Source organism: Homo sapiens, chromosome 6 (genome assembly GCF_000001405.40).
Source record: "Homo sapiens chromosome 6, GRCh38.p14 Primary Assembly".
Classification (NCBI taxonomy): Eukaryota; Metazoa; Chordata; class Mammalia; order Primates; family Hominidae; genus Homo; species Homo sapiens.
Window position 1 is genome coordinate 105,144,971 of NC_000006.12, and position 12,906 is coordinate 105,157,876.

At 38.6% G+C, this 12,906-nt stretch overlaps 1 long non-coding RNA gene across 1 annotated transcript in view; it reads left to right on the forward strand.

The window, feature by feature from the left end:
• The window catches only part of POPDC1-AS1 (POPDC1 antisense RNA 1), a 32,259-nt gene that overhangs the window by 7,284 nt on the left and 12,069 nt on the right, over nt 1–12,906 (forward strand). Inside the window, exon 2 of the long non-coding RNA NR_037157.1 lies at nt 2,306–2,410. This is a non-coding gene — a long non-coding RNA (POPDC1 antisense RNA 1). The remainder of the gene's footprint in view (nt 1–2,305; nt 2,411–12,906) is intronic.

Genomic DNA, 12,906 nt, shown 5'->3' on the forward strand with positions numbered 1-12,906 from the left:
TGTTCAAAATAACCAAACAGGTTATGCACTCAACAGGTCTATATTTTTGCTAGATGGAAAACTGGAAACAACATCTCAAAGCAAAGGGCCTAAACTTTTGTATTATTGTTTTGCAAGTCCCGCCGTCTAAAAAATGCAGTGTCCAGATACTGTTAATGTTAAATTCAGGGAGAAGCTCCCTAAAGTCATGTAACAGTTTAATCATTGGACAATAAACTTTCACCAAAAGGCTTCACAGCTCCTAAAAGAAATGACACACAGGCTGGGCGTGGTAGCTCATGCCTGTGACCCCAGCACTTTAGGAGGCTGAGGCAGGCCGTTTGCTTGAGCCCAAAAGTTTGAGACCAGCTTGGGTAACATGGCAAAACCCTATCTCTACAAATGGGCCATCATGGCGACTTGGCGCCTGTAGTCTCAGCTACTCCAGAAGCTGAGGCAGGAGGATCCCTTGAGCCTGGGACGTAGAGGCTGTAGTGAGCTGTGATCACATAACTGCACTCCAGCAAGGGTGACAGAGCAAGACCCTGTCTCAAAAAGCAAGCAAACAAACAAAACAAAATTTAAAAAACACACACACGGCTGGGCACGGTGGCTCACATCTGTAATCCCAGCACTTTGGGAGGCCGAGGCGGGTGGATCACGAGGTCAAGAGATTGAGACCATCCTGGCCAACATGGTGAAACCCTGTCTCTACTAAAAATACAAAATTAGTTGGGCATGATGGCTTATGCCTGTAGTCCCAGCTACTCGGGAGGCTGAGGCAGGAGAATTGCTTGAACCTGGGAGACAGAGGTTGCAGTGAGCTGAGATTGCGCCACTGTATTCCAGCCTGGCGGCAGAGCGAGACTCGGTCTAAAAAAAAAAACAAAAACAAAAACCCACACACACAACACCAAAATTTTAAAAAGTGACCCCGAACTTTAAGAAGATAGTGAATTATGAAGGCAGTTCAAAGAGTGGTAGCTTTGGAATTAGCAGCTGGATTTGAACAATGGTTTTACATTTAATAGGCTGTATGTGTATTCAGATAATTATCTCTTCTGAGCCTCAATTTACTTGTCTATAAAACTGGGAAAATAACTCATAGTTACCAAGATGATTTTGACTTTTAGAGATTATGTTTTTTAAAATGCCTAGCATCTAGTTCTTGGTAGCATAATTGCATATCTCTTGTATGCCCCTAATAGTGCCCTGCACATGGTTCACAATTCATAAAAATTATTTGAATTCTAGTTCAATTGTTTAATGGAAATGAATTTGAATCACCAAAATTCCCTAGTCTGAAGAAATAGTTGAACTATCCTATGAACACATGAAGTAGCTAAAATGTAGTTTCATTTTTCTATATATTTGCCAGTTTTAAATAGATGGAATACAGAATACACAAGGTATTTTAAATGAAACTTGCTTATACATTATAAGAATTTGATGCATGCTAAAATTTCCAGTAGTTTGGGATTTCCCTGGAATAGCTAGCAGATCACAAGGTCAGGAGAACGAGACCATCCTGGCTAACACTGTGAAACCCTGTCTCTACTAAAAATAAAAAAAATTATCTGGGCGTGGTGGCGGGCACCTGTAGTCCCAGCTGCTCGGGAGGCTGAGGCAGGAAAATGGTGTGAACTCAGGAGGCGGAGCTTGCAGTGAGCTGAGATCGTGCCACTGCACTTCAGCCTGGGCAACAGAGCGAGACTCCATCTCAAAAAAAAAAGATACTGGCTTCAAAAGCAAACTCATGAAATATGCAACAGTCTAGATTGTATAAACTGGGCAGTTGGCAGAGCTAAGTTACAGTAATTCACCATCTTGGGGTTGGCAGAAATGTGCATACAGTAACTATATTGTCAGAAACCAGAGGCCTGATCTTCCCTCTGTCTATTCTTTTTCACATAGCTTTTCTTCTGAAAGAGAAGAATTACATTTGTTAATATTTGTTTTAAATATTAATTATAACAAACAAAGGCCACAGATGAAGCATTTCATAGGGTTTCCTAATCCTTTTGGAAATTGTTTCAAAGAGAAGGAAATTATTGTAAGTAAGCAGGCATAACAAAATCGTGTTTTAAATAAAAAAGGTAAGTATGAAAAGAGGATCAGAGAAGTGACCCTGAATTCCACTCAATTCTCTAAGAAGCTTCAACCTGTAACCAGAAGGATTCAATCTCTGGGCCAGATAGGATCTTCAAAACAAAACTGGATCAGGGGCCTAGGTAGATACCCCAAGAAGGGCAGATTCAAATGTCTGGCGCCATCTATAGTGACAACCTCTCTTGTCTTTTGTTCTTTCCCTGTTGGGAACTTCTAGGAATTTGCAGACCTATAAAGCCCATCTATAAATCTCAAGCATGTCCACTTTCAGAGAAGAGAAATGCTGACAACCATTTAGTCTCTGAGGACAACACTTTTAAAGGTACTGTTTTATTTAGTGTGTAAACAACTTCTTTATATGAGGTATTTAGTGGTTAGAAAGGAAAACTTGTTAAAGGTAGAAAAATAACTTTTGGCAATTTTTAATAGTATGTAATTTAGTGGTATAGATAAGATTTTGATTGACTGAAAGTGAAGCTATAGGCTGGGTACAGTGGCTCACACCTGTAATCCCAGCACTTTGGGAGGCCAAGGCGGGTGGATCACCTGAGGTCAGGAGTTCAAGACCAGCCTGGCCAACATGGTGAAAGCCAGTCTCTACTAAAAATACAAAAATTAGCCAGGTGTGGTGGCAGACGCCTATATCCCAGCTACTCAGGAGGCTGAGGCAGAAGAATTGCTGAACCCAGGAGGCAGAGGTTGCAGTGAGCTGAGATCTTACCACTGCACTCCACCCTGGGTGACAAAGCGAGACTCTGTCTCAAAAAAAAAAAAAAAAAAAAAGTGAAGCCATGTAAGGACTTCTAATCTTTATCTGGTGAAAGCAGAACTTTCAATTATCATAGAGTTTCTACTATGTGACATAGAGTTCTGTATCATTTTATACAATTACTCCTCCAAAAAGGCTGGTTTGGGAGGCAAATAGGAGGCCTGATAATAGCCAGCCAAGTAATTTGACATAAGGCTAGAAACAAAAACCCAAAGCAGCACATCATAAAGATGGAATAATAAAATAAAAGTTGGGAATAATGACGCTGCCATCCGGCGTTAATTGATGTGCAAAAGCACTCAGTTCCCAGGAGAAAAGAATTATTTAAATGCAAATTTGTATTATTAGTACTACTTAAATTGTTGTAATAAATTCATGAAAATAAGACACCTCTCTAGTTTAATACATATATAAAACCTAATAAAATATTTATGAGCCACATCCAGCAGTTTTAGCATTTTGCATAAAAAATTGGTAAACATGATGAAACATTTCTCTAATCCAAGATCAAACATATTTGATATAATTTAGAACCACACAAAGTGATTGCAAATGCTATTTAGTTTGAAAACTATAGGGCACCCTCACACATTCCCCTGAAAGAACAAAAAGATCATGCTTTGAAAAAGAGATTTTAGAGCCATTGAATCTCTTTTTAGAGTATGGGAAGAATAGAAGTACTTTGGACAGAGCAGTTTCTGACAGAAGATGATTTGGGTTTATACGAGATATACAGAACTATTATGCAGTTTTACTGCATGCCACAACACAGAATTTCTTAATATCTTTCAGCCACACTAAGTCATCTGAGTAGAAGTGTATGAATATATTATAAGCTCAGAAAATGGCATCTAAAAGCAATAGAGTATTACAGTGTGAATCAGGAAATTTTTCACGTTTTGAAGGTTTCAAATGACTTGGTTTAATAAATAAATAAAACTTGTAATACCTAGAAAATTGATGTTGAATGGGAAAAATAAAATATTGCTATTAATGACTTGGCATTCAGTACTTACATTATTGATGACTTAACATGCTGGCATGTGATTCCCAGCTGTTTTAAGGTGACGCTACAGATGTGTGATTCCCTAGAGCCATTTTTCTCTATCTCTGTTATGGCCTTTATTACTTGCTACCTTTTACATATTTATGTAAAAGACTTTTTCTCCCTCCAGGTCAAAAGTTTCTGGAGGATAAGAAGTGTATCTGATTTATCTTTCGTATCTCCGTGGTGCTTAGCACATGATTTACATATATTTGGAACTCGGTAAATTCTCCAATAGAACAAACAGTAAATCTTTTTAAAAATCATGTTTTACAACTTAAATTATTATGAATGGGGAAAACAGTAGAAGAAATGTATACCAATATGTTAATAGAAATTGGGTTAGGATAGTGGAATGATTGTCTTTTCTTTTTTCTATTCTAACTTGTTTATAATACATTATTTTTCTAATAGAATAAATAACAAAGTGACACTTAATATTCTACCAGGTCATATTACTTTATTAGAATTATGGTGACGTCTCACCATGACAGTGACACCCCACCCCACAGCCCACCCTCATACTCCCCATCACCAGCGTCCTCTCCTCCCCTGTCCTGTCTAGCTGATTAATGATGGAACAGGAACAACTTGAAAAAGATACGTTTGGAAGGAGTGGAAAGAGCTGGTGGAGCAGAGGGAAGGTTTAACCATGAGATTCATTCAGAATTCATTCATTCATTCAGAAACACTGAGTGGTCTGATAGGTGGGAAATGCTTGGGGTCAGACCGTAGCAATAGGGGAAGAATGCAGAGGCCTCCAAGTCAGAGGCAGCAGCAGAGCCAACCACACTCTAGGTGCCATCAGCCCAGATACCCAGAGACCAACTACCCAAGCAACATTGCATTCGATCCAGGGAGGAATTAGGAGTTCAAGATCACCCTGGGCAACATAGCGAGACCCCCATCTCTTAAAAAAATATTAGCTGGGTGTAGTGGCGCATACCATGGTAGTTGCAGCTACTGGGGAGGCTGAGGTGGGAGGGTCTCTTGAGCCTGGGAGTTCTAGGCTGCAGTGAGCCGGGTCGTGCCACTGCACTCCAGCCTGGGTGATGGAGTGAGACCTCATTGCAAAAATAAATACAATTTAAAAAATAAAATATAATAACTGCCTAAAATGGAAAGAAACATCTTTTTAAAACATTTAAAAATTGTTATGGGTACATAATAGTTGTATATATTTATGGGGTACATGTGACGTTTTGATACAGGCATACAATGTGTAATGATCAAGTCAGGGTAATTGGAGTACCTGTCACCTCAAGCATTTATCATTTTTTTGTATTGGGAACATTATAATTCCACTCTTTTGGTTATTAAAAATATGCAATAATTTATTGTTAACTATAGTCACCCTATTTATTGTGCTACTGAATACTAGATCTTATTCATTCTATCTAATTGTATTTTTGTATCCATTAATGATTCCACTTCATATCCCCTTTACCGACTACCCTTCTCAGTATCTAGTATCCATCATTCTACTTTATATTTCCATGAATTCAGTTTTTTTTTCAGCTCCCACAAATGAGTGAGAACATGCAATATTTGTCTCTCTGTACCTGGCTTATTTCACTTAAAATATTGTCCTCCAGTTTCATCCATGTCGTTGCAAATGACAGTATTTCATTATTTTCTGTGGCTGAAAATTTTGTCTATATACCACATTTTCTTTATCCATTCATCTGTTGATGGACACTTATGTTGATTCCATATCTTCGCTATTGTGAATAGTGCTGCAGTAAACATGGGAGAGCAGATTCTCTTCGATATACTGATTTCCTTTCTTCTGGACGTATACCCAGCAGTGGGATTGCTGGATCATATGTTACTTCTATTTTTAATTTTTTGTGGAACTACCATACTGTTCTCCATAGTGGCTGTACTAATTTGCATTCCCACCAACCTTTCTCCACATCCTCACCAGCATCTGTTATTCCCTGCCTTTTTTGTAAAGGCCATTTTAACTGGGGTGAGATGATACCTCATTGTAGTTTTGAGCTGCATTTTTCTGATGATTAGTGGTGTTGACTATTTTTTCATATACCTGCCAGCCATTTATTTGCATGTCTTCTTTTGAGAAATGTCTATTCAGATCTTTTGCTCGTTTTTAAATTGGATTGATTTTTTTCCTATTGAGTTGCTTAAGTTCCTTATATATTCTGGTTATTAATCCCTTGTCAGATGAATAGTTTGCAAATATTTTCTTCCATTCTGTGGGTTGTAGAAATGTCTCTTAAATGGCAGGATCAAATGTTTGTTTTCTGCCATCCCTGGGAAAAGGGTGTGAGAGCCATATTATTTAATTTATCATTTAAAATGGAATTATAGTCATCCTTGGGTATTGTGGGGGATTGGTTCTAGGACCCCCTCAGATACCAAAATCTGAGGATGCTCAAGTCCTTGATATAAAATGGCCTAGTATTTGCATATAGCATACAAACATCCTTCCATATACTTTAAACCATCTCTAGATTACTTATAATACCTAATACAATGGAAATTCTATGTAAATAGTTATACCATATTGTTTTTATTTGTATTATTTGTAGTGTTGTATTGTTATTTTAAATTTTTTCCAAATTATTATTTCCAAGAAATAGTAATTCTACATCATGCAGGAAAAAAAATGCTATTATTACAGGCCTTACATTTTATTTTGGATCCAAGGTTGGTTGAATCTGTGGCTGTGGAACCCTCACATACAGGGGGCTGACTGCACTTATGAGGGACATGATAATCCATTACATGTTTCTGTTAAAAAAGAAAATTTAATTGGGAGGCCATTAGGCTGAGGTGGCTCCAGTGCCTTGGGCTCCTATGTAAAAAAACCAAAGCCCAGTGTAAACAGTAAAACAAAACTTAAGCTTAACCAATCAGAAATTGCCAACCAGCCTCTAACTAGGGACTTTCCACACTAACCACTGAAGTATATTTTCTTTGTCTTGCTTCTGGACCTTATAAGTTTCTCTCTTGCCTGTCCCCCTACAGTGAAGCTCTGAACCACTTGTAGCCTAGTGCTGCCTGATTCATGAATTGCTGTCTGCCCAAATAAACTCTTCAAAATTTTGTTTTGCCTAAGTTTACCTTTTAACATTCCCAACAAAGAATCTCTAAGCAAAAATCATTTTGTAGATTTTCAATTCAATAAATGATCTTGGAACCTAAAGACTAATAACTGTGCATCCTGAACAAGTGCTGTTCAGACTCACTTCAACAGTATCAGCAAGAAAAAATGTGACTTTGAAAGTCATTTAAGGAAATAATAATTCTATATCATAAAAAAATGCTATTATTATAGTTCTTACATTTTATTTCATGAGAAACTACTAGTGGCACTGCATAATTGAAATCAACTTGAGAAGGGAATTCAATGTTAAAATTCAAATACAAAAATAGATGCAATTGGCTGGGCATGGCAGCTCACGCCTGTAATCCCAGCACCTGGGGAGGCTGAGGTGGGAAGATTGCTTGAGCCTAGGAGGCAGAGGTTGTAGTGAGCCAAGATGGCACCACTGTACTCTAGCCTGGGTGACAGAGTGAGACTCTGTCTCAAAAATAAAGATGCAATTAATTTCCTTCTATGCAATGAATATTTACAAAGCAGCTACCATGTGCCAGGCATTGTTCTCTAACAGTGAAGAAGATATAGACTAGTGGAAGAGTTTCAGAGTAGAATTCCTTTTCTCATAAGATGGACATTGTGCTTGTGCATTGGTTAAACTTTTATCTCAAAGGAACCAACTTATATTCTGCAGTAATATCCTGTTCTTCAGAAACCCCACTTGTATTACACCAAAAATTTCTTCCACATCTTGGAACCCTTACCTGGTGCTATTTGAAAAAACTTCAGCTTTTACAACGTTTCATTGTACATAAAGTTTTATTCTACCTGAGAGAAGAAAGAGAAGTAGCACTACAAGGGGCACTGAATTAATTTTCTTATAAGAAGGAGTGGATGGCACATAAAACATGATGGGCTGAGATAATGAAGGCTTCTCTCTAGGATACCTAGAGAGAGACCTCAATTGAGCTGTGATAATATCTGAATGAAATTGGACAGAACCAAAACTTTAAAAACTGATTTAAACTGCATCAAAGAAACTTGGCCTTGTTCTTTCATTATGTAAACTTATAGCCATTTAAAATAGAGTTACACTTAATGACACATTTTACTTGTAAACCACATTTGAGCTCAAGCTACTGCTGATGATTCAAAAGAAGAAAGGTTCATGTTTGAATAATTTTTCCTCATGCTGTCACTAACAGATTTGGAAGATGTGTAACTAGCATTTTGGCATTGAATTTTCCTTCAAGTCAGACTGGGGACATTTTAGTACTCTCCAAGTCAGGAACACAGTCAAGAACATGGTCAGTGCAGCATGAAAAATGCAAGGACACTGATTTAGAAGAATTAGGCTTAAGCTGAGTGTCACCACTGTTTACTAACTGTGATTCAGTCTTTCTGATTTTTATCCATAAAATGGGATCCTTCCAAGGAACAAGCAAATGAAATCACATGTAGGCATGTGCTTCATAAACTATGAAGTGTTAAATAAATGTAAGACATTGTTTTGTAATTATATAATTTGTGAGGTAAATTTACATTTAATAAGAGTAGTAATCTCAATTCTGATGGCCTGAGACACTTGATATTATATCAAGTGGAGCTAAAATTCTATGAAATTATGTAAAAACAAATATTTTAGAATCTTATAAATAAAATAAAATTACTCTTATTAAGATCACTAAAGCTTGAATTGGAATAAAAGAAAAAAGGGGACAATTACAGTTCAAGACACAAATTATCAGTTCTTAGGGAGAAAAGTGTTTTAAAGTTCCCTGCCAATCTTTAATAGCTAGTAGGTTTTAAAACTAGTCAAATTTAGCATAGCAATAAAACTTGAAGTTATGTTCAAATCATGCTGATATTATATGCAAATGTACAATTCAGCATTACAGTCATGGTAATACTTACGATGAGATGACTAAGAGTTAAAGTAACCAGTGTTTCAGTCTTGCTGCATCTTTTCACAGCTGTGAGAGTTCCGGTCTTGAAATAATACACAGTTCTATCAAATTAAACCTGCATTTTATTATAATAGGTCTATATCATACTAATGCTTATTTGTATTTTTGATTGATATGTATGCGTTAAATTTTAGTAGAATGAAGAAAAACAGTGGAATTAATTGGACCCATTGATCTCTTTAACTTGTATAAAAACTGTCTTTTACTAACAAGTAATACTAAATTGGCACATCATTTCTGAAGTTTAATTTCTCTAACAATGTGCAGTATAGGAAGAACATGGAACCCGATTAGAAAGTGCCATCCAATGCTGCATGTATATTTATGGCTTTTGTCAAACCAAGCATCTCACATACATAAAATTGTAAACGTATTGCTTTTACAATAATATGTACTGTCTGCCTAGTTTGTTTTTCTTATGGCTCTTGTCAGCTGAGGAAATTTCACTTTGTAACTGCCCTGTTAATTCTGCCTTTCTGGGTCTGAGCAGTGTAACAATGTGGCATCCAGAGCTTATCCAGATGAGCGGAGAGCAAATGAATTTCCTTCTGCTCCCCTGTTGAAGAGGAGAGAAAAATTCTTCAAGCTGTAAGTGCTCAGAGAGCATCATACTATTCTTTACAGTAGACTAATCTCAAGACCATGAGTTCCTAGGGGCTGCAGAGTCCAAGGCAAATCCCACTGATCCTTTCTCATATTTGCACAGGGGTCAAATCAAGTTCAGAGGAATAGCCCCATGGGGATGGGAAGCCTCCAGATATGCAGGTAAAGGAAAGGCCATGCAAGAGAGAAGCCTGCAGCCTCCAGGGACTTGCTTTGGCGACTGGGGTGTGGGGTGTTTACGGCCTCATTTTGTGCCAAAGCCACTCTCTTTTCCCGGACTCACTACTTCTCAGAGTCCCTCCTGACCATGAAAATTAGGACAGAAAATCACAAGGCAGTCACCCCAATTTCTTAAAGTCTAGGAACAACTCAGCTAGGGCCAGCTTCCTGGGCATGCGACCTGTGCAGTCACAAAGGGCTCCAGGCTTACAAGAGCCCCGCACTTGGCATAATGCTCTGCCATCTCCATCTTGAAATTCTTAAGACTCTTTGAACAAAGAGTCCATTTATTTATGAATATCCAGATCTTGTATACAAAGCCATAAAGCATTTTTAGCACAAGAACACAAGCTGTTGCTCATCTTAGTGCACTCTTATCAATGACAAGAGAACCAAAGGATGGAAATAATTAGGCTAAGACTAAAATGAGCCCAATTTTTAATAAAAATTAAATTTTAGGGGCACTATGATACAGAGGTCAGAGGTATTTTTCTAGGATATGTGTCATTTCTGCTTTCCATCTGGTTTGATTATTTTGAGATAGTATGTGGTTTGCTAGACATTTCAAACCAGACATACAATACAGCTACCTAAAAGTCACTGTAGGTTTTTGATTTTTTTTTTTAATAAAGTGAGAAAACCTGAGTGCAAACCTAGGTATTGGATAATAGCATATCTGTTAACACCAAGGAACAGTGCCAGCCCTATACAGAAGTGAAGACTGTGAAGTTTCAAAGCATCCCTTTACCTCCTCTTTCAGTATCCCTTTATCCCATTATGTTTGTACCCCTTTCTCCTTATAGTAAAAATAGATTTCTGGGAAACTTACATATAAAATCTTGTCCCCTCTGCCACTGAGTTGAGCCAAAAGTCTACATCCCATTTCTATGTGGCTTTGTTCTCTGCTGACTTTAATGGTTAGAAAGCTATCTGATAATTAATCCCTGTAAAATTATTACCTGGTAGTACTAACTTAAGATGTGACTTCTACCTGGGATGCTCTGCATTTTAATACTTTATAAATATCTCAAAGTCTTAAAGATTCAAGAAATGAATTTCTCCCAGAGCCATTGTAAAGCCCACTGACAAGCCAGTGGGTGCTTCCTGAAGGCCTTTGATTGCATCTGGCAGACAGCTGCCTTCGTGTCTGCTTGGAAGAGCTGCCCATGATGGCAATGTGTGGCCAAGAAATAGAAGAAACCATTCCAGTGATTCCTTTAGTTCATGCTAAACTTGAATAGCTCAGTAGTTCATCCAGACTAATGATTTACATCTTGTCACATTGTCCCACTTATGGTAGATGCTAACATACAGGAAAAGCAACGTCCTTTACATAACCCCAGTACTTCCTCTCCCGTTCTCCTTGCTGACTTTGCTTCCTAGGTCACCGAGAAAATGAAAATCACTGGAGAACTTTCACAATCTCTCACCACATCTCCCACTTGCCAGCAACTACTCTCACAGATACTCTTCTCTTTTCATTCATGAAGAATTGTCCATATTTCTCTTTAAGGCCACTGGATCCCATCACCTGCTCAAGGTCATCACTCCCGCAGTTCACTCCTCACTTATGGATTATTTCCATCTGCATGCAAATGCACCATCTTATCTGAAAATCAATAACAACCCCCTCTCTTGACCCCACTTTCTGCCCAGGCTACTGATCATTTCTATTTCAGTTCACATCAAAACTCCTTGAAAAACTTACCTACCCTTACTGTTCCAACTTCTTGCCTCTCATTCTCCTTCAACCTGCTTCAGTCGAGTTTTTGTTCCTGCTCACTCCACCAAAACTGCTCTTGTTAAGTTCCCCAGTGACTTCCATGTTGCTTAACCCGATGGTTCATTCTCAGGCCTCTCAGCCACATCTGAGACAGTTCATCACTCCCTTCTCCCAGAAATTCTCTTTGCTTGGCTTCCAGGATCCCAGGCTCTCCTGATTTTCTTTCTACCTCATTGGCTGCTCTTCCTCAGATCCTTTGCTGATTCTTCCCCCATCGCTTTGTCCCCTTAACAATGGAGTGCTCCAAGGTAAGCCTCAGACCATTTTTCTTCTGAATCTACACTCACTCTTTTGGCCATCTCATGGAGACTCATGGCTTTAAATACCATGTATATGCTAAATACTCCCAAAGCTGTCTCTACAGCGCAGACTTTTCTTTGAAACTCCAGGCTCATATCTCCAGCTGTCTACTCTACTTCAGCGTCTAGCAGGCATCTCACTCTTAATCCTCATTTTACTTTCCAAGTCCACTCTTTTCTCTCTTCCCCCTAGTCTATTCTCAGCAGGCTAGCCAGAGTGATCCTATTAAACCATGGGGCAGATCATATCACTCTTCTACTTCAGACCCTACAATGGCTTCTGGTCACTCTTAGAAAAAAATCAAAGTCCTTACCATGACTTATTTAGGCCTTACCCAGTCTGCCCACGGTTACTTTCTGTTCATTCTGTGCCAGCCAAACTAGCCTTCCAGCTGCTCCTGGAACAGGCCAGTCATGTTCATGCCTAAGGGCCTGCTCAGTTGCTGTCCCCTTTGCCCAAATTGCTCTTCCCTCAGATATCTGCATGGATTCTTCCATTGCCTCTTTCAGGTCTTCATTCAGACATTCCTTTTTGTGGATACTTTCCTTGACCACCCTATTAAAATTGCAATGCCCTTTCTTACCCACCTTCTCTAATTTATCACTCCCCTTGGTACTATCACCTTCTAAACATTTACTGATTTACTTTATTATGTCTCCCGCATCCCCAGAATGTAAGCTTTATGAGGGGTGGGATCTCCATCTGTTACCTGATGTATCCCCATGCCCATGTCAGCCATAGAAGGTGCTCAATACACACTTGTTAAATATTTGATAATGTATCTCTGTATCAAAGAACATAGTCTGCATGTGATCTTCAGAAAACCAGTTTTCCAAAGGAAGGGATCAGATCTCCAACTAGGGTTCTTTCTTAAGCTCTTCACAAAGCTGAAGCACTCGCTGTGAGGCAGACCCTTGTGTTTGTGCGGTGGGCTGAGCATTCCCTGTGAACCCTCGCTGCCCATTCACACCACTGAAAGCTCTTTCTGCTGAACACGTGAAACTGAAACACCGTGCAACATTTTTACTATTGGTTCAGGAGTACTCTTTTGACTTAGTAATGATCAGG